A 22,529-nucleotide genomic window follows, 5' to 3' on the forward strand; every position below is an offset into this window, starting at 1 on the left:
GTTTCAGTTTACCATGAGGTTTATAAATACTATCTTATAACACATTATTTTAAGCTGATAACAACTTAACACTGTTTGCATAAACAAGCAAATAAGCATGCAAAAAGAAAACTAGTAAAAAAACTTCTTGCCTTAACTTTGTCCCCTCACTTTTTAACTTTTTGTTGTTTCTATTTATATCTGTTGTACTATGTCTTGAAAATTTATTGTACTTTTTTTTTATTGGTTCAACATTTAGTCTTTCTACTATGGATAAGAGTAGCTTACACACCACAGTTACAGTGTTATGGTATTCCATGGTTTTCTGTGTACTTACTATTACAAATAAGTTTTGTATTTTAAGTGATATTATTCCTCATTAATATACTTTTCTTTCTGATTGAAGTACCCCCTTTAGCATTTCTTGTAGGACAAGTCTGGTATTGATTAAATCCATCAGCTTTTATTTGTCTGCAAAATTCTTTGTTTTTCCTTCATGGTTGAAGGACATTTTTTCTTGATCTACTATTCTAGGGTAAAAGTTGTTTTTTTTTTTTTCTTCAGCACTTTAAATATGTCATGCCACTTTCTCATAGATTGTAAGGTTTTCACTGAAAAGTCTGCTTCCAAATGTATTGGAGCTTCTTTACATGTTATTTAATTTTTTTTCTCCTTCTGCTTTTAGAATCCTTTTATTATCCCTGACCTTTGAGAGTTTGCTTATTAAATGTCTTGAGGTAGTCTTGTTTGATTTAAATCTGCTTGGTGTTCTGTAACCTCCTTGTACTTGGATATTGATAACTTTCTCTAGGTTTGGGAAGTTCTGTTATTATTATCCCTTTGAATAAACTTTCTATCCCATCTCATTTTCTATCTCCTCTTTAAGGTCAATAGCTTTTAGATTTGTCCTTTTGAGGCTATTTTCTAGACCCTGTAGAAGTGCTTCATTGGTTTTTTTTTTTCTTTTGTCTCCTCTGACTGTGTATTTTCAGTTAACCAATCTTCAAGATCACTAATTCTTTCTTCTGCTTGATCAATTCTGCTATTAAAGGACTCTGATACATTCTTCAGTACACCAATTATATTTTTCAGCCCCAGAATTTCTGCTTGATTCTTTTAAATTATTTCAATGTCTTTGTTAAATTTAACTGATAGAATTCTGAATTTCTTTTGTGTTTTCTTGAATTTATTTGAGTTTCCTCAACATAGCTATTTTGAATTCTCTGTCTGAAAAATCACATATCTCTGTTTCTCCAGGATTGGTTGTTATTGCCTCATTTAGTTCACTTGATGGGGTCATGTTTTTCTGGATGGTGTTGATGCTAGTAGATGTTCTTTGGCATCTAAGCATTGAAGAGTTAGGTATTTATTGTAGTATTCACTGTATGGGCATATTTGTAACCATTGCTTGGGAAGGCTTTCAGATATCTGAAACAACTTGGGTGTTGTGTTCTTAGCTATATCTGCTTTAGGGGACACCTCAAGCCCAGCAATACTGTGGTTCTTTAAGCTGTGATAGTCTTGAGATACTGCCTTGATGGTTTTGCACAAGATTCAGCTGAATTCTCTCGATTACCAAACAGACCCTCTTGTTATCTTCTCTTACATTCTCCCAAACAAACAGACTCTTTCCCTCTCTTTTGAGCCACATAAAGCTGGGGGTGGAGGGACACAAGCACTCCTGTGGCCACTACCACCATGACTATGCTGGGTGAGACCTGAAGACAGCACATCACTGAGTCTCACCCAAGGTCTGCTGTCATCACTTCCTGCCTACTACCTATGTTCATTCAAGGCCCTGGGACTCTACAATCAGCCAGTGGCAAAGCCAGCCAGGCCTGTATTCTTCTGTTTAGGGCAACAAGGTCCCTCAGGCCCCAGGTGGGTCCAGAGGTGTCATCCAAGAGATAGGGACTAGGGTCAAAAACTTTAAAAGTCTACCTGGTATTCTATTGTACTGCAGCTGAGCTGGAACTCAGACCACAAGTCACTGTACTTCCTACTCTCCCTTCCCTTTTTGAAATGCAGAAGAGTCTCAACCAGGCCAAGAGGAGTACTGCCAGACCACCACAATATTCCCTTAAGGTCCAAGGACTCTTAAGTCAGCTTGTAGTGCATGCTGCCTGGCTTGCCGCTCACTCTTCAGGGCAATAGGCACTCCTCTGGTTCAGAGAAGGTCCAGAAATGCTATCACAGAATCAAGTCCTGGTATCAGCGACCTCAAGAGTCTGTTGATCGCTGTACTCCCTTGTGGCTGTGCTGGTATCTAAGGTGCAAGACAAACTTCCCTTTCCTTTTCCCTCTCCTTTTCTTAAGCAGAAGCTTTGCCTCATAGTCAACACAGCTGACAATGTATTGAGTTTCACCTGAAGCCAGCAAGTCTCAAGCTCAACAAAAGCCCCCCATGTAATACCTGGGTATTTCTGCTGATTATTCATGGCCCAAGGACTTGCCAATTAGCAGGTAATGAATGCTGCTATGCTTGGGTCATTTTCTTCAAGGCTGTGGGTTTCCTTCTGGCCCAGGGTGTTTAGCTAAGACCCAGAATGGTGGCCTCAGGACTCTGACTGGTGCCCTATCCTGTTGTGGCTGACCTGGTATCCAAGATGCAAGACAAAGTCCTTCCCACTCTTCCCTCTCCTCTTTTAAAGGGGAAGCAAGAGGTCTTTTTTGAAACTAGTGGATGTGCAGCCTGTGTTTAGTGGAGGGGCTCATGCCAGCACTCCCTTAGCATCCCCAGCCAGCATCTTCGTATGTCATGGGCTCTTATCATCTATTGTCTCTGGGTCTAGTTCAGCACTAGGACATGGCCTAAGAATTGCAGTCCTAATGGTCTAGACTGCCTTTCAAGTTTACTTGGGGACAGAGCACTGTAGCCCTAGGTGGTAAGGTTTGTGGGAACTCAAGTTATGACCACTGGGATCCATGATTCCCTTCTGGCTAGGGCTGTTTCTGGGTAGGTTTTAGCTGAGTTTGGTTCATTTTTTCTTTCTGCTGTAATAGGACAGTACTGAGTTCAATGCCTCACAATTGCTGTTTTTTCCCTCCTGCAGCATGCAGAGACTATACACAACACACAGTTGCTGCTAAGGTGTCAGGGAGAGGTTCATGTCAGTGATTCAGGATTGTTTTTTCCATCTTTTCGTGGCTCTTTCAATGATACAAAGTTGAAACTAGGTACCATGAAGGCTCATCTAGATTTGTTTTTTATGAATGTATTTTTTTTTCTGTGTAGATAGTTGTTAAATTGGTGTCTTTGTGGGGTGGGGAAAACTAGAGCATTCTATCCTGCCATCTTCCTCTGCCTTTCTCCTGCATGTTGATTTTTGTATCCTGTATTTTCTAAAAATTATTTCTAACAGATTTTTGGTTAAGTCCTGATAATTTTCTGTATATAAGATTATGTCATCTCAAAACAGAAACAATTTAACTATTTAAAAGATACATTTGGATGATTTTTAATTCTATTTCTTGCCTAATTGCTCTGGATAGGATTTCCAGTACTCTGTTAACAGAAGTCATGGTGAGAGCAGGCACTCTTGTCTTGTTCCTTATCTCAGAGGAAAAGCTTTCAACTTTTCATAGTTGGACATGGTATTAATAGCAAATTTGTCATAAATGGCCTTTGTTATGTTGAGGTACATTTCTTGTCTACCTTATCTTCTGAGAGTTTTTATTATGAAACCATCTTAAATTTTGTCAAATGATTTCTCAGCATCTATTAAGATGATTATATAATTCACACTCCTTATGCTATTAATGTAGTATATGACATTTGTTGATTTGACATTGTTGAATCATCCTTGCATCCCATGGATCATTAGGAATATTGGTGTGTAATTTTCTTTTTGTATAGTGTACTTATCTCACTTTGGTATGAGGGTAATCCTGGCCCCATAAAATGAATTTAGAAGGGTTCCTATGCTGCAAATTTTAGGAAGAGTTTGAGAAAAATTTGTACTAACTATTCTTTAAATGTGTGGTAGAATTCACCCATGAAGCCATCTGGTTCTTGGCTTTTCTTGGTTGGTAGGTTTTTTATTCTATATCTATCTCCTTACTTATTTTTCTGTTTAGGTTTGCTATTTTGTTGCGATTCAGTCTTGATGTATTGCATGCTTCTAGGAATTTATCGATTTCCTCTAGGTTATCCAATTTGTTGGCATGTAATTGTTTATAATTGTCTCTTATAATCCTTTGCATTTCTGTGGCGTCTGTTGTATTATCTCCTCTTTTATTATATTTTTATTTGAGTTTTCTGTATTTATCTTGTATTTATCTTCCTTAGTCTAGCTAAATGTTTGTAAATTTCATTCATGGTTTTAAAAATAAACTCTTAGTTTCATTGATATTTTTACTTTTTCTAGTCTTTATTTATTTCTGCTCTAATCACTATTTTATTTTTTTCTGCTAACTTTAGGCTTAGTTTGTTTTTCTTTTTATAATCCCCTTAGGTTAAAGTTAGGTTGTGTATTTGAGATTTTTTTTTAATGTAGGCATTTATCTCTATAAATTTTAACCTTACAACTTCTTTTGCTGCATCCCATAAACTTTGATATATTGTGTTTCCATTTTTGTTTGTCTCAAGATACATTTTGGTTTCTCTTTTGATTCCAGAAATGTATTTTTTTAAATATCTCATGAGTTAGATAATAACTGATAATTTATCATTTTAGCTTAATGATATTTTAACTATAATTCTTTTTAAAATTGGTTTTGAAGATCATTAATATGAAAAAAGAAAAATACAAATTAGTTGTCAAAGAGTATATACATAATAAAGAATATATACCTATATAGTATGTACACATATATAAACACACACATATATTAATTAAAAGAATAGTAATAAAGACCTTGAAATTAAGAATACAATTATTTGTAAGCCACTGTGTTTTAGAAAAAATCGTTAACAGAAACTGCATAGTCACGTCTCTGCTACTGGGCATATGTATGCTTAGCATTAATCAGATTGAATTTTACAATGGATTGGTACAGGAAAGGGATCCTGATTGAGACTCCCAAAAGATGGTACTTGGATCTCATGCATAAAAAAAAAAAAAAAAAATTGAGGGTGAGTCTTCCGAGTAAAGTGAAAGCAAGTTTATTAAGGAAGTAAAGGAATAAAAGAATGGCTACTCCATAGACAGAGCAGCCCCAAGGGCTGGTTGCCCGTTTTTATGGGTATTTCTTGATGGTTATTTCATGCTAAACAAGTGGTGGATTATTCAGACCTCCTCTTTTTAGGCCATATAGGGTAACTTCCTGACATTGCCTTGGCAGTTGTAAACTGTCATGGCACTGGTGGGAGTGTAGCAGTGAGGATGATGAGAGGTCACTCTTAATGCCGTCTTAGTTTTGGTGGGATTTGGCCAGATTCTTTATTGCAATCTGTTTTATCAGCAAGGTCTTTATGACCTGTATCTTGTGCAGACCTCCTATCTCATCCTGTGACTAAGAATGCCTTAACCTACTGGGAATGAAACCCAGTAGGCCTTCGCCTTATTTTATCCAGCCCCTCTTCAAGATGGAGTTGCTTTGGTTCAAACACCTCTGACATTTTGGCTTAAGGAGCCTAAACAAATGCAGCTAAAAGAAGCCTTATTTAATTTAACAGCCCTTCAATTTGATGATATATCCCCAAATCATGTGAAAACTTTCAAAATGTCATTACATTCTTATTTTTGTTAGACTAATTTTTCTTCCTTAATCCAAGCTTATGGGAACAAGAGAACTGACAGTCTTTTAAAAATATTTTTCTAACAATGAGGTAGGTGTAAGTAGCAGCAAATGAACTCAACAAAAAATACTACTCTGATATTGGTGAAAAATTTACCATTTAATATTAATATTTCTTCTACTAATTACAAGAAATTAGAGTTAACAGCGTTTTAGAGCCTTTTCACATATTGGGAACCCAGTGAAGATTTATTGAGTAGGTAAAGATGACAATCTAGTTGATCCACAATCTAGTTGATCAACAATCTAAAGATGACAATCTAGTTGATCCACAATCTAGTTGATCAACAATCTGTTGATCCACAATCCCCTTTCTCCCAAAATGAATGGCCACTGGTCACTATAATGGATGTTACTCACATGCATAACAATGCTAGAAAAACATTCATATTTTAATGAAGCCAAAATTATTTTTAACAAAATAAAGCTCCTTCATAATCTATATTCAACATAACAATTAAGTCCTTAAATGAAATCTTTTGTAGGGCTGAGGCTGAAAAAAAGGCAGGTTATAGTGTGCTGAATTCCAAGCACATTATCCATTACTTCATGTCCTTTTCACCTACACAGGCGAAAAGATTTAACAATGAAAATGACTGAGTTATTACAAGGATAATATTGAATTTTCTCTAATTCATCAAAGCAGATGAATTATTGTGAAAAAGTCTATATTTTGATGTTCAATATACTAGGTTTAACTAGTTCTATTATACCATTAGGTTGAACTCTACCATGGAGAAAGCTTAATTGTTTAATCCTGTAATGTGAGAAAAAGATGCATGAGCAGTTATAAAAAGTTTGACAAATTTTAAAGGCATATACTACATATATTATTAGTACCATTATTTTAATCTGTGTCTTATAAAATATTGAAAAGTAAAGATCATAAATTTATAAACTTCTATTTTATAAGACCTTGTTTACTTAAAAGGTTAATGCCATAGCGGATAATTCTCTTTACATACTATACAATAAAGGGCCTTATTCCTCTTTTTTATTATTTTTATTTTTTACGAAAGACCTTTCAGTGTTCAATTTGTTTTTCTTTTCAGTTAATAAAAATTAAGGAGAAAATTTTTTGTATTTTTCCTTTGGAAAAGAGACATCATAGTGGTTGTTTATTTATTTATGCAAGCACATGGAAGGTTAGTGAATGAAAATGGCCCAAATTATTGTCTAACAAGTTTTAGAAAAGGACAAAAACAAAACAGTGAAGAACCTGAGAGATTCTCATTCCACCTAGTAATGACAGAAGGGTAGCATTGGCACGTGTACAAACATTTAAACTTTCAGGTTGTCTTTTTTCCAGAAATATAAGATGAAGTTTTTTTTTTTTAAAAACTACACAAATTTCTATTACTTATGCCTTTGTATATCCTCTGAACTCCTCCAATTTTAATGGCAATTGTAATCTGTGACTAAAGGAGACAGGCGGATAATCACCCTTGAAAGAGAGCTGTTCCATACTTAATAGGGATTTGATTCCACTAAGAAGAAGCAGCTTGAGATAGGTGATTGGGGAGATGCGGCAAGTTTTAAGAGTGGGCTTGACAGTGGTAATGGGAGGTGTTGGACTTCTTTACTGTGTTAGAGAAAAACTTAAGCTATGTATTCTGGTATAATCAAATGGGACATTTTTTGCTCATATTTAGAAACTTTGTTCAGCGCAGATTTGTAGGTTGTTTTGGGGAAGACTAAGAAAAAGAAATATAGTATTAACAGGTTTGTCTATGTTTCTGCTTCTCTCTGTGTTGGCCTTATTCTTTCCTAATGTAAGTGGGCTGTCTTAATGTAGGGAGTAACACAACAGAGCCCCTGCTCATATTCTTCCAACTATCAGTCACAGATAAAAAGGGAAGCAGGTAGTTTGGCCCTTCATGGGCCTTGTGCCCTTATCTTAAATCAGCCACAGAGTCAAGATGTTACTCCTTACGTTAGATCTAATTTGAGACATTTACCACTTACTTGTGTGACAAAAATAGGACCTTTTCTCAGAAGAGAAAAAGCACAGACCTGAGGACCCTGTAAGCCAGTTACAAAGGCATTACCTAAGAAGAGGTTTTCTTTCTAAGGGAGCCAAGTTAAAGATTACACAATGTTTCTCTGTTCAAAAAGCACTGAAGATACTGTCAAATAAAAATGCATTGCTACACTATGAGAGAACAGCTACATCTGTAAGTCACCCAGATTCTCTACTTCTCATAGCTCAAATTCTCATTAGTTCTCTCCTGGCCTATCTAAATAAACTCCCTAATCAAGTGTCTCTCTTCTCTTCTCTCACTCTTGTCCATTCTTATATTCTTGGCAGACTCACTCTTGTAAATTACAAAGCCTAACTGGTGTCCTTTTTTCTTTTAAAATATGGCCATATCTTAGTGTTCATCTCTCTTTCTTAAAAGCAAGTTACCACTAATCTGTTCTGTGCTTGTTTATGCATTCTTCAGAATTCAGCTCAAATGACATCTGATTCAGTATTTCCAAACCTGGTTGATTAGCGTAACCTGGTTGATTAGCATAACCAATTGGAAGACATATTAAAAGATAAATGTCAGGACTTGCTACCACATTCTGATTCCTGGGTCTGGATAATGCCGGGATAACTCTGATGTCCCAGAAATTTTGATAATCAGTGATACAAGTATAGAAGCCTTCCAAAATCCAACTCTCCTTCAATCTTTGGTGCTAATTTCTCCACATTTGTAATCCCACAGCACTAAATGTTTGCACCACATCCTCAATGCTCTTATGACAATGGGATAAAACCGATTTGAGAAATACTAAAAGGAAACTTTTTCTTACATTGATATTTATCTATTTCAGGGATTAAACTTCCCACCTTAGCAAGTGCCTCTAAAATAGCAGATAAATTTCTTAGTTAATGGCAACTTATGTAATTCTGAAACATTATAATACATGAATCATAAGAAATAAACTACTTGTATTTCTTTTTCATTATTTAAAAACAATTTGCTCAATATATATTTTTAATTTATAGAAACTAGTTTAACTTTAAACATTGGCATGTACTGAGATAAGTATTTCTGAATAGTAGTTGAGTTATCTTTAGAAGGTTGGTAAAATATATATATTACATATAGAATTATATATATATAAATATGTAGAGATAGTAATTCAAGAGGGTACTTGTGAGGTTTTAAAAATCTGTTCATCGAAATCTTTAAATACATTAAGTTTAAAATTTAGAAAAAAATCTCAGAGTACAGATTTTGTTCAGTTTGAATTATTTTAATGTTATTGTTTTTTTCAGAAGAATTTATTATTTTTATTTATTTAGTTAGTTTATTGGGGAGGGTGTTCCTGAAGCCATTAGCCCTTAAAATATCTTCCTAGGCATATACATTTGTGCACTAACCCTTCTAGCTAAGATATGGAACTATGTGAAAATCTTTTGCTACTGCGTTAACAACTTGAAAAACATGGAGAGGAAAATTCCCATTTTCTTTAGGCTTAGCAAATAATAATGGATGTAAATAAAATATGAATAAATTATGAATTCTAGAAATGAAAAATAAAATACCTGACATTTTAAAAAGTATTGCATGGGGGTAAAAGCACATTGCAGAAAAAAAATCAATAAACTAACATAAAATTTATCTAAATTAAAACAGGAAGAGAGAGGGTAAAAAGAATAAAAAGTGTAAAGTGAGTATCACTAACCTATAAGAAAATATCAACAAATCTATCTTAAGTGTAATTAAAGGCTTAGAAGAAAAGAATGGGAGAATAAAAAATCTCAACCTACTGATGTAACAACAAATACTTAGTGGAAATATAACAAGGAAAACCCCAACAAGGCCATTGTAGTTAAATCACTGGAAACCAAAAGAACATGTTAATGGCATCCAGGAGAAAAAATACATAGTATGAAGAGGAATAATTATAAGAATGATAATAGTCTTATTATTAAAAAATATGTAAGCCAGAAGGCAGAAAACAACAAATTTTAAACATGGAATTTTATATCTATTAAGATTATATTTTAAAAATCAGGACCAAATAAACCTATTTTTAGATAAATGAAAGGTATGAAGGTATATAGCCAGCAGACATGTACTAAAACAGACACTAAGAAAAATTGTTCAGGGATGAAGAAAAATAATACAAGAAGGAAATGCAAATGTAGAAGAAGGAATAAAGAGTACCAGATATGGTAAATATGCAGGCTCGCGTTAAAGACTACTTTGTGTTTTCTTAATTTATTTTATAAAATAATTGTCAGTTTAAATAAATAAAAATATTCATATACACAATAGGTTATTATTCAGCCATAAAAAAGAATGAGTTCCTGTCATTTGCAACAACATAGATGAAACTGGAGGACAATATGTTAGGCAAAAATATGCCAGGCAGAGAAACACAAGCATGTTCTTATTTATTTGTCGGAGTTAAAAATTAAAACAATTAAACTCATGGAAATAGAGAGCAGAATAATGATTACCAGAGGCTGGAAAGTGTAATGGGTGGGGTGGGGTGGATGGTTAATGGGTGTAAAAATATAGTTACATAGAATGCATAAGATGTAGCACTTGATAGCACAATAGGGTGACTACAGTCAACAATAATTTATTGTCGAGTTTTAAATAATGAAAAGGATATAATTGGATTGTTTGTAACACAAAGAAAAGAACAATCCTCGAAGTGATGGGAAAAAATAATGAAAAATAAATAAATAAATAAAATATTCTATAATGTATTTTGGGTTTTTTTTAATGCATAGGAGAAACAAAACGTGACATCAATAATCAAAACAACTGAGTAGTCAATGGAATTATATTGTTGTATGTTTCCTAGATAATATGTAAAGTGGCATAATATTAGTCTCAGGTAGAATTTGATAAGTTAGGGATGTGCATTACAATTTCAAGACAATACACTTATGACTAAACAATAAAATGAAGATATGATGAAAAACGACAGAAGTGGAGAACAGTGTTGTGGATGGAATTGTGACCACCAAAATTCATATTCATATATTGACGCCCTAAACTCTAAATTGTCTATATTTGGAGAATGGGACCTTAGAAAATGCAATGAAGGTCAAATGAGATCATCAGTGGTGTCTTAATCCAATATGACGGGTATACTTATAAGAGGAGGAAGAGATACCAGGGAGACACTGACACAGAGAAGAGGACACATGAGGACATTTAATTCCATTAAATGTAAACGGATTAAGCACTCTAATTTAAAGGCAGTGTATTAGTCTGTTCTCATGCTGCTATGAAGAAATACCTGAGACTGGGTAATTTATAAAGCCTGTTAATCAGTTCCAAAGTCACTTCCACATTTTCGAGTGTCTTTATAGCAGCACCCCACTCTTTGCGGTACCAATTTATTGTATTCATTCATTCTCACACTGCTAATAAAGACATACTTGAGACTGGATAATTTATAAAGAAAAGAGGTTTAAGTGACTCAGTTCAGCATGGTTGGAGAGGCCTCACTAAACTTACAATTATGGCTAAAGGGGAAGCAAACACTCCGTCTTCACAGGGCAGCAGGAAGGAGAATGAGTGCCTGGGAAAACTATCAGAGTTCATGAAAACGAACTCACTATCATGAGAACAGGATGTGGGAAACCACCCCCATGATTCAATTATCTCCACCTGGTCCCTCTTGTTAACACGTGGGGATTATGGGAACTACAATTCAAGATGAGATTTGGGTGTGGACTCGGCAAAATTATATCATGCATTGATTGCCAGGCTGAATAAATTTAATACTAAATTTTATGGTCTTTAGAAGAGATGTTATTTAAATATAAATACACAGATTGAAAGCCATGCATATTTTTATTCCTCAGTTTTTAAGTTGTTTTCTACTAAGAGTTTAGGCACATAACTCCGTAATGCATCTGGAGTTGATTATAATATATAGTGATGATAGGATTTAATGCTATATTCTTTAAGAAAACCATTTTTTTTCCAACTCCACTAATTGAAAAGTTTTTCTTTTAGTGCTTATCTGAACTGGCAGTTTTAACATATACAAAAGTTTCCTACATAGGTAGGTCAGTTAATTGGCTCCTCTCTCTTTCTCTCTCTCTTCTCAGTCAACTTATAAACTATATCTTCATAGAAAAGCTTAAACTCTTATATGACAATTCCCCTTTGGTTATTCTTTGGATGTATTCTGTTTTCTTAGAATTAAACTCTTATATGACAATTCCCCTTTGGTTATTCTTTGGATGTATTCTGTTTTCTTAGAATTATAGCTCTTCATGTAAATTTTATAGTAATTCTAAAATTCATTAAAATATATGATTTTTCTTGGAATTTCATGAAATGTACAGGTCAATTTGTAGCAAATTGATACCTTTATGATAATAAGTCTTCTAAAATTTCTACATTTAGGATAATATGTGTATCAGGTTTATGCTGGCTTCTTAGAATGAATTGAAGAAAATTTCCTTTTTATCCTACTGTCTGGAAAAGTTTAAATAGAATTGGGATAATCTGTTCCTTGAAAGGTTAATAGAATTTTCTTATGAAACTTTCTGGGCCTGATGTTTTCTATGCAGAAAAATTTTATCCTGACATCAGTTTCTTTAATTATTATAGAAATCTTCAAACTTTTCATTCTTGTAGAGCCTTTTTAGTAGAAAGAATTTCTCAAGAAATTTGTGCCTTTTATCTACATTTTAAAACTATTTGGTATACTGTTATTGATGTTCTATTATTATTGTCTAATATCTTTTGCCTATATATATGTATCTATTTTTATTCAAAATAGTTTTTATTACTTTTCTTCTCTTCTCTTGATAAGCACTGCCAGAGATTTGTTGATATTGTCAGCTTTTACAATGAAGAAGCTTTTGGCTTTGTTGTTTTTTGTATAGTATCTTTATTTTGTAGCTTATTAATCCCTGGTTTTATTTTTAAATCTATCATTCCATTCATTTGGGTTCATTCTGTTTTTTTCTACTAATTAATGATGGACCCTAAGCTCTTTATATTAATTTTTGTCTTTTCAATATAGTCATGCAAGACTACAGATTTCTCCATAATGCACAACTATTGTTACATCTCAAACCCCACATGTGCTGTTTACAGTGTAATTTTAATGCATTCTACTATTTGCTCCATTTTTTACATTATTTATTATTTATTCTTTAGTTATGTAACATGTATTTTTTTCTTTCCAAATATATGATTTAAAATTTATCTTTTTGCTAATTATAACTGCTGTATTATAGTGAAAGATTATATTTTTGACAACTATTATTTATGTTTTGAGGAATTTTACCTTGTAAATAACTCATTATTGTAAATGTTCCATGAGTGTTAATACAGATGCATATTCACTCTAATTGCTGTACAGAGAACTCCAAATATTTTCTTTTTTTTTCACATTATATAGTATTCTACTATCTTGCTAGATACTTAACATACATAATCACATTTAACCCCCACAAAAGTCCTGCTGCATGTATATAACAAGCCTCACTTAACAGAAGAAAGTGTTGAAACTAAGAGTTAAGTGAATTGCAGAACATCCTTTGCTGCTAATTGTAAGCAGCAGGATTTGCCCCTGGGCTGTTTAATTCCAGAGCCCATGCATTTATATTATGCCATTTGAGATAGCTTTAGTTATATAGATGTTTACCAACCTATGTGTGCACACAAATACAGTCACACATATATACATATTTTCTCTGGAGAGAAATACAGCAAGCTCTGCTATCTGGCCTGTTCACATGTTGACACTTCTGCCTGAACATACTATTTCTGTGACTTTCAGCATAGTTGGATTCTTGTCATCTTATGGGTCTCAGCTTAAATGTTACCTCCTGACTTTCTTTTTTTATTATTACTATAGTTTAAGTTCTGGGATACACGTGCAGAACATGCAAGTTTGATATATAGGTATATGTGTGCCATGGTAGTTTGCTACACCCATCAACCCGTCATCTACATTAGGTATTTCTCCTAATGCTATCCTTCCCCCAGCCCCGTACCCCCTAAAAGGCCCAGGTGTGTGATGTTCCCCTCCAGGTGTCCATGTGTTCTCATTGTTCAACTCCCACTTATAAGTGAGAACATGCAGTGTTTGGCTTTCTGTTCCTGTGTTAGTTTGCTAAGAATGATGGTTTCTAGCTTCATGCATGTTCCTGCAAAGGACATGAACTCATTCTTTTTTATGGCTGCATAGTATTCCATGGTGTATATGTGCCACATTTTCTTTATCCAGTCTATCATTGATGGGTATTTGGTTTGATTCCAAGTCTTTGTTATTGTGAATAGTGCTGTGAGAAACATATGTGTGCACGTGTCTTTATAGTAGCATGATTTATAATCCTTTGTGTATATATCCAGTAATTGATTGCTGGGTCAAATGGTATTTCTGGTTGTAGATCACGAGGAATTGTCACACTGTCTTCCACAATGGTTGAACTGATTTATACTCCCAGCAACAGTGTAAAAGCATTCCTATTTCTCCACATCCTCTCCAGCATCTGTTGTTTCCTGACTTTTTAATGATCACCATTCTAACTGGCATGAGATTGTATCTCATTGTGGTTTTGATTTACATTTCTCTAATGAACAGTGATGATGAGCTTTTTCCATGTTTATTGGCCGTATACATGTCTTCTTTTAAGAAGTGTCTGTTCATATCCTTTACCCACTTTTGATGGGGTTGTTTTTTATTTTTCTTGTAAATTTGTTTAAGTTCCTTGTAGATTCTGGATATTAGCCCTTTATCAGATAGATAGATTGCAAAAATTTTCTCCCATTCTGTAGGTTGCCTGTTCACTCTGATGATAGCTTCTTTTGCTGTGCAGAAGCTCTTTAGTTTAATTAAGCTCTTTAGTTTAATTAAGAATCAGTATCATGAAAATGGCCATACTGCCCAAAGTAATTTATAGATTCAAGGTTATCCCCATCAAGCTACCACTGAATTTCTTCACAGAATTAGAAAAAACTACTTTAAATTTCACATGGAACTAAAAAAGAGCCCATGTATCCAAGACAATCCTAAGCAAAAAGAATAAAGCTGGAGGCATCACACTACTTGACTTCAAACTATACTATAAAGCTACAGTAAACAAAACAGCATGGTTCTGGTACCAAAACAGATATATAGACCACTGGAACAGAACAGATGCCTCAGAAATAACACCACACATCTACAACCATCTGATCTTTGACAAACCTGACAAAAACAAGCAATAGGGAAAGGATTACCTATTTAATAAATGGTGTTGGGAAAACTGACTAGCCATATGTGGAAAACTGAAACTGGACCCCTTCCTTACGCTTTATACAAAAATTAACTCAAGATGGATTATAGACTTAAACGTAAGACCTAAAACCATAAAAAACCTAGAAGAAAACCTAGGCAATACCATTCAGGATATAGGCATGGGCAAAGACTTCATGACTAAATGTTTTCATTAGATTAAATTGTCACTTTGTTTTTATATATTCTACGCCCTTGCTATATTATTGCTAAATTTTTGACTTATGAATAATAGAGAAATAATTTATAATGGTAGATTTGTCAGTTTTTCTCTATAGTTCTATCAAGTCTTGCTTCATGTTTTGAGCTTATTTTATAAGTAGTTTACAGTATAAAATTGATTTTTCTTTATAATTAACATCTTAGTGTCATTTCTGTAGGTTTATATCTTTACCTTTTAATCTTATTGTATATGATACTAAACTGAAACATTATCTTGGAGTTAACATTTGCTTCATGTGTCTTTTCCCAGTTCTTTAAAATTTTTTGATTTTATGCTTTTTCATGCCTCTTGTAAACAGTGAATTTCTGGAATTTGCATTCATTTTATCCAATTTGTGAATTTTTATCTTTTAACTTTTAAATTTAGTCCATTTGCATTCATCATAATAATGTATATATTTGGACGTTGTTTCATCATTTTAACTTATTATTTCATTTTATATCACACTAGAAAAGTGTATTTAAATATTTTAATTTTTAATTGATAAACATTTTCCCATGGTTTTACCTCTTTTGTTCTCTTCTATGTCCCAAATTAACTAGCTATTACCTAAAATTTTTATTCTAGAGTATTATGGATATTTTTCTTTACTCTTCTGCTATTAGCTATTTCTAGGACAGTACTACATTTTCTCAAATCTTCACCAAAACTTCATGTATGTCTTGCAGCACCATGTCTTTGATATATCACTTTATAATTCAAGAACTGCTTAAAGAGAAAAGATCAATTAATGTATTTCTTATCTTACCTGTGCTTAGGAAATTATTGCACTGAAGTGATTATGACTCATCCATAATTAAATTTGTAACAATGTTATTAGGTTAGCATTCTTTCTGATAATTTACTCTACTTATCATATTTTACATTTCTATTGAGTAGTTTCCCTATGGGATATCTGTTCTCTTCTTACATATTTTGCCACCAAAACTGTTAGCCACACTTACATGTTGTCTAGAATAATTAGGGGGGATGCTAAAAAAGAAACAGTTTTTTAAATGAATTTTAAAAATCTATGGAAAATGTATACTATATAGACATTCTGTCATAGTTGAATCAGTGAACATCGGAAAAGCTCTCATACTGTTGCTGGAAGAGAAGTCAAAAAAGGCTTTCACTCAAACAAGGCTTTATTTCAATCAACTCTTAACATTTTCACTGTACATTTTTTCTCCATTGAAAAATTAATATTCCCAAAGGCATATATAAAAAATTATGTACATAAAAATATAAATAAAAGCCTAAAAATGAGAAAATGTACATACAAATTTTCTCCAACAAATCAGGATAAGAAATAATAGTGTAGCATGCCTTTGTCAAAAATTTTACTTTCATTAAATATTAAAAAATGGACATATTAGTTTAAGAAAATATTTATTTGGCATATATGATGATATACTTTATTGAGAGGATTTTAAAAGACATTGAAGAAATATACATAGACGGTTGGAGTGGTGAAAAAAAGTATTTATAAAGCATTTTGGAAAAATAAGTATGAAGTACAAGACCTAGTGGAACTTTCTTGTGGCATTTACCATTTTATTTCATCAGAGATATTCAAGTGACTTCATAACGTATGCAAGCTGTTGTATCAGAAATTTTGTTTTTGAAAGTCTTTTTAGCATATATGTTATTGAAAAAGCACTAAGTTTTCATGTTCTGTTTAAAATATTGATCTACCACTTAGCAGCTGTGTGTCCTTCCACAAGCCATGTTAACTCTCTATGGTTCTATTTATTCACTTTTAAAATGAGGGATTTTGACTGGAGGATTCTAAAACTGCTTTCTAACACTAAATGCTCTTGGTCTATGGCTGCAGTTCTTAGTCTTACATCCAGGCTCACTGACATTGAATATATCGTATTTTAAGATATTTGCGGCTGGGCGCGGTGGCTCACGCTTGTAATCCCAGCACTTTGGGAGGCAGAGGCGGGCGGATCACGAGGTCAGGAGATCGAGACCACGGTGAAACCCCGTCTCTACTGAAAATACAAAAAAATTAGCCCGGCACAGTGGTGGCCACCTGTGGTCCCAGCTACTCTGAGAGGCCAGGCCGAGGCAGGATGGCGTGAACCCAGGAGGCGGAGCTTGCAGTGAGCAGAGCTCGCGCCAATGCACTCCAGCCTGGGCGACAGAGCGAGACTCCGTCTCAAAAAAAAAAAAAAAAAAAAAAGATATTTGCTTAAACACATTTTGCAGGAAATAATTTTTATAGTTTTATTAACTCTAAGATATTTTGTTACCCAGAAAGTTAAATCTCATTGTTATAGGGGAATATTATAATGATAGAATTGACCATTTCTTCCAGGGTTGATTTCGGCAAAACAATATCATTCCAGTGACATTGTAAAATACCTTATAATGTGTATTCGTTAGTCATTTATGTTATATTTTACATATAACACATCCTGTTTGCTTCCTAAAAATCTTATATTGAGAAGCCAACTTATTTGAAAAGATTCTGAATAGTAATGTCTAAGCTAATTAATAATCCTTTTATTATTAATTAGGTGAAATTTTTTTCAAGAGAGAAAATAGCAGATGTTTTGTTTAGATGAATTCATTAATTCATTTGTTCATCAAATATATATTGAGTCAATATTATGGACCAAACATTGCTCTAAACACAGCAGTGAATAACATTACCTGCCTTTATGGCATATGAATTTCAGAGGGAGAGACCAGTGATAAATGATAAATGAATACAACAGAAATATAAATAATGTATTGTCAGACTGAAGAATGCTATACATGAAAAAGAAAGGACTGCAAGTTTTAGAGGCTGGTGGGTGGAGATGTAGGTTCTTACTTAAATATCTGTCGTTCAGATAAGTGTTTAAAGGAGGTGATTTTTCAGCAGATGCCTGAATAAAGTAAAGGTGAGGGAGACCTCTGTGAATTCTGGGGAAGGAGAGATCCAGGCAGAAGGAAGAGCAAGTACAAATACCCTGCATCAGATTTATGATTAGCATGTTGGAGGAAAAAAATAGATGAATATCATAAGATCACAAGGAAAGGAAAGTCTGGTTCCTAACTTTCTAATGTCATATTGTCTATTTCAGTTTGGGCTGTTAAAACAAATGACCATAGACTGGATGAATTATAAACAGCAGCAAATTATTTCTCACAGTACTGGGAACTGGAAATCTGAGATCAGGATCAGGATGTAGCACAGTTGGGTTCTAGTGAGTGTCCTCTTCTGGGATGCAGAATGCTAACTTCTTGTTGTATTCTCACATGGCAGAAAAAGATCTAGTTAGCTCTCTGGCCTGTTTTCATAAGTGCATTAATTCCATTCATGAGGTATCCACCTTTATGACCTAATTACCTTTCAATTGTCCCATCTCCAAAACACATTTAATCCACACATACACACATATAATGTGTATGTGTTCCAAACATATATATTATAAGGTATATATGTGTGTATGTGTGTGTGTATGTGTGTACACACACACATACATACACAAACACACAGAGATATATAATACCTTACTGCCTGTAACATAAATTCCATGTAAACATTCTATAACTTTCATTTTAAAAGAAAGGCTGCCTATTGGTTGGAGACTATAGAGGCAAGAATAGCAATTTTTATGTCTTAGATTAAGAGATTCCTGAGAAAGGAGGCATTTTTTGTAAACCTGAACTATTTATGTAGTAGGTTAAATCACCAGTTATTTAAATTTCTGGATTGCAGCCTGATTTAAAGCTGTTTGTCTGAATCGAAAAATTCATGATTTTCCTGCAACTGTCTGTAATTATATCTAGAACAGATTGATATTTTAGGAATTCTTGTCTTAAAAATATGTGATCTTAGAGCTTGTGGTAGTAATAATAATGTCCATATTTTAGATTCAACTTTGAAGCAAGCTTGTAAAAGTTTTGTCTGATTTAAGCTTTTCTACTTCAGGAAAAATAGAGGGAGCTGGGAATTAATGAAATGTAATAGATGTTGAATTGTTAACTTTTCAAGCAGGGAGGAAGTTAAGGTTAAATGAGGTAGTGCCCTGGAGAGCACTTTGATCTCTTTAGAGGAAAGTTGTCATACAAATTATTATGTTTCTGTTGTTGTTCCTCATTTTATGCTGTTTATACATGTAAGCACTCCACTTATGTTTTTATTAGTACATTTTTTTTTCTAGAAGCAGAATTATTTCCTCAATGCCAGACAATCTAAGATTGGCTTTTTCCCAATATTTTAATTTTGATGTATGTTGGTTTTTGTAGCTATGTATAGCATCTGTAATCCCAGCACTTTGGGAGGCCAAGGTGGGCGGATCACGAGGTCAGTAGTTCGAGACCAGCCTGGCCAACATGGTGAAACCCAGTCTCTACTAAAAATTAGCTGGATGTGATGGCAGGCGCCTGTAATCCCAGCTACTTGGGAGGCTGAGGCAGGAGAATAGCTTGAAACTGGAAGGTGGAGGTTGCAGTGAGCTGAGATCATGCCACTGCATTCCAGCTTGGACAAAAAAGCGAAACTTCATTCTCAAAAGAAAAAATTTAAAAAAGAGAGAGAAAAACATGTGCTCATGGAGGATATTTGAATATACATGATTTTCTTATCTTAAGAAAATTCAACATACTAGTAGTAAATTGAGTTGACTATTAATTTTCCAAGATAATTCGCAAAAGAAATTCATTCATTCTGCAAGCTCCCTTAATGAATTTATAATAAATCCAAGTATGAAAACATTCAATTGAAAAACATATTTACAGATATTTCAGAGAGATCATTCATTTAAGAAGTTATTATATCTATGGATTACTCTGGCACATGCACTGAAGTCTTCTTTATAGAATGGTTTTAATCTCTGCTTCTTATCTTTCCTGCCAAAGAAATATTATACAACACACATCAAGGATAGAAATAAAACAAGACAAAATTATATTCATACTTTCTAATGTGAGTGAGCTAACATGATTCGCTCTGTCAGCTGTTATTGTGCATAAATGTCAGAGATTCCCAATCCTGTTTCATCTGCAAAGCTTGATTTCTCACTGATTCCCACTGAAATTTATCTCCCTCTAATTCAACTTAAATATCTTAAGATATAATTTAATGATACTATTTTTAAAATCTGTACTTTAAAACCCAATAGCATAACTAACAGTATTACTATGCTATATAATTTTTGGTCATGAATCTACCCATCCATATTCATTCACCTAATAAAATAGAAAGAGACCAGTAATGGGAAAAGATCAGTCATAAATAATATGTGCAGATATAAATTAGACAGGCAAAATAGTTTCACCCATGTTGGGGAAAAATTGAAGTTGTACTCAAGCAGTTATTAAGTTAGGTGTTTTGGTAAGCATATTTTGTTTTGGAAAAATAGTATTTCATTCTTCAAATGCAATAATGTCGTTGGAAAAACATTTGAATTTAATTCCTGAGCTGATTGGATTCTCTGGGCGCTAGAAACTTAGAAGTAGTAAGCAGTGCAAAAGATTCACAGGAATTACTAGCTGTGAAGAGAAAGAAAATGAAATATAATTAGGCAAGGAGAGCCATCAGATCAAGATGCAGACCTGACCAAAAATGTTAAAGCATGATAAAGCTCTAGAGCAAAGCCTGCCTGCTAGAAAAGTCCCACATTGGATGGAAACCACTAGGATCTTAAACTAATAATACCTGTGTAGTAATTGCATAGGGATTGTCCCAAGAATATCATGACCTTGAAGGCTGAGGTGGATCCTGTAGAATCGACATTTGGAGGCATCCTATTGACCTACCTTCGTTGCAACTGGACAGCAATTGTTTGTTTTTTGGAGAAGATCTGAGTGGCTTATATCTATAACTGCCATAGTTCCTACTTTAGATTATTTTTTTCTGATTTGTGTTTCCTTTGCCATTTTATTCTAGCAGTGACAGAATGCAGTGAACATATAAGAAAGTTTCATAAATTTTGATCTTGAAACTTTAAAACAAAGACATCAAGAAATTTTCTAATAGTCAACATAAAATATTAGCTAGAAATTTTTGCCATTTGACAAACATAAAACAATACATTATTTAATAACCTAGATTCCTAAAGGTAATTTTTAAGAATCTAACATATTTAGTTTATTGAAATAATTAATTTTTATGACATTCTCCAAGTATACATTCTATTTATTTAATTTTTATACCCCATATAACATTCTGGCAACACTGAATCAATCACATTTTTATGCTTCAAGTGCAACAGCAATAAATCTTTGAATAATTTATAAAATGTATCTCAATTTTCTGGTTAGATGACATGAAATGAGTGTAGAAAAAAGCACAAATGAAAAAATAACTATGGCAGAAAAATATTTTGAGAAAAACATTTGAAACTAAATATTTGGATTACATATGTATTTAATAGCATTAAGCCAGTAAACATTTTAAAAATGACTTTTTAATTCCATTTGCTAGATAGTTTTGTGGTTTGGGATATTTCTAAACAGTACTAAAAGAAATAGACATGTAGGTAATGGAAAAACAAACTTTAACACTTTCTTGGTGAAAAATCCTCTAAGTCCCAGGGTTTGCCATTTCTTTATTCTGATTATCTGATCTTAGAATACTCCTGATTTTTAATTCTCTTTTTAATAAATATTATGTTTTGCTAATTTTATATTAGAATTGATAAAATAATATTTATAACAAAATATTGTTTCCTTCAAAATTTCTTCAGTTTTCAAATAGAGCCATATTTTAGCAAAAATATTCTAAAATGCTAGTAAATATTTTTATTCATTTTTGACTAGATGTCTTGAAAGCATATTATTAACATCAGTTTGTATTAATATACACTGTGCCACACTTCGCAACTCAGCACTTAACACATGTTCTCTTATTTAATCATTCCACTAATGCTATGATATTAGTCTTATTTTCATTTTATCAGTGAAGAAACTATGGCACATAAAGTTAGGCAACTTGCACCAATTCACTATGTAGTAAATAATAGAGTTGGTAGGTAAACCAAGATTTGTAGCCTAAGCTCTCTCAGCAACACTATCTAATTATTTTGCAAACATTTTTTTCATGTATTCAACTACATACATATGAAATCACATTTGCTAACTGAAAGTGAAAGGAGAAGCAAACAGCAGCCCTGATGCTTAAAAAGGAGTAATGAAGTGACCAAGGAGCATAAAGGTGGTAGTCTGACATCTAGAAGCAGGAAAAATAATATCAACATCATACTTTTTTGGTGAAGATTAAATGAGAGTAACAGGTAAAATAAGCAGAAGTGCTTCTCAACATTCCTGATGTGGAGTAGTCATTCAAAATGGTAGTTTTATTCCTATCAATGTCCTTTTTGTGTAGGCAAAGGCACAAAAGACAGAT

The 22,529-nt window shown here is 33.3% G+C and overlaps 1 long non-coding RNA gene across 1 annotated transcript in view; it reads right to left on the bottom strand.

The window, feature by feature from the left end:
• Window positions 1-18,435, bottom strand: part of LINC02383 (long intergenic non-protein coding RNA 2383) — a 35,014-nt gene extending 16,579 nt beyond the window's left edge. The window contains exon 1 of the long non-coding RNA NR_146993.1: window positions 18,328-18,435. This is a non-coding gene — a long non-coding RNA (long intergenic non-protein coding RNA 2383). The remainder of the gene's footprint in view (window positions 1-18,327) is intronic.
• Between the last annotated feature and the right edge of the window lie 4,094 nt (window positions 18,436-22,529).

This window comes from Homo sapiens, chromosome 4 (assembly GCF_000001405.40).
Source record: "Homo sapiens chromosome 4, GRCh38.p14 Primary Assembly".
Taxonomy (NCBI): Eukaryota; Metazoa; Chordata; class Mammalia; order Primates; family Hominidae; genus Homo; species Homo sapiens.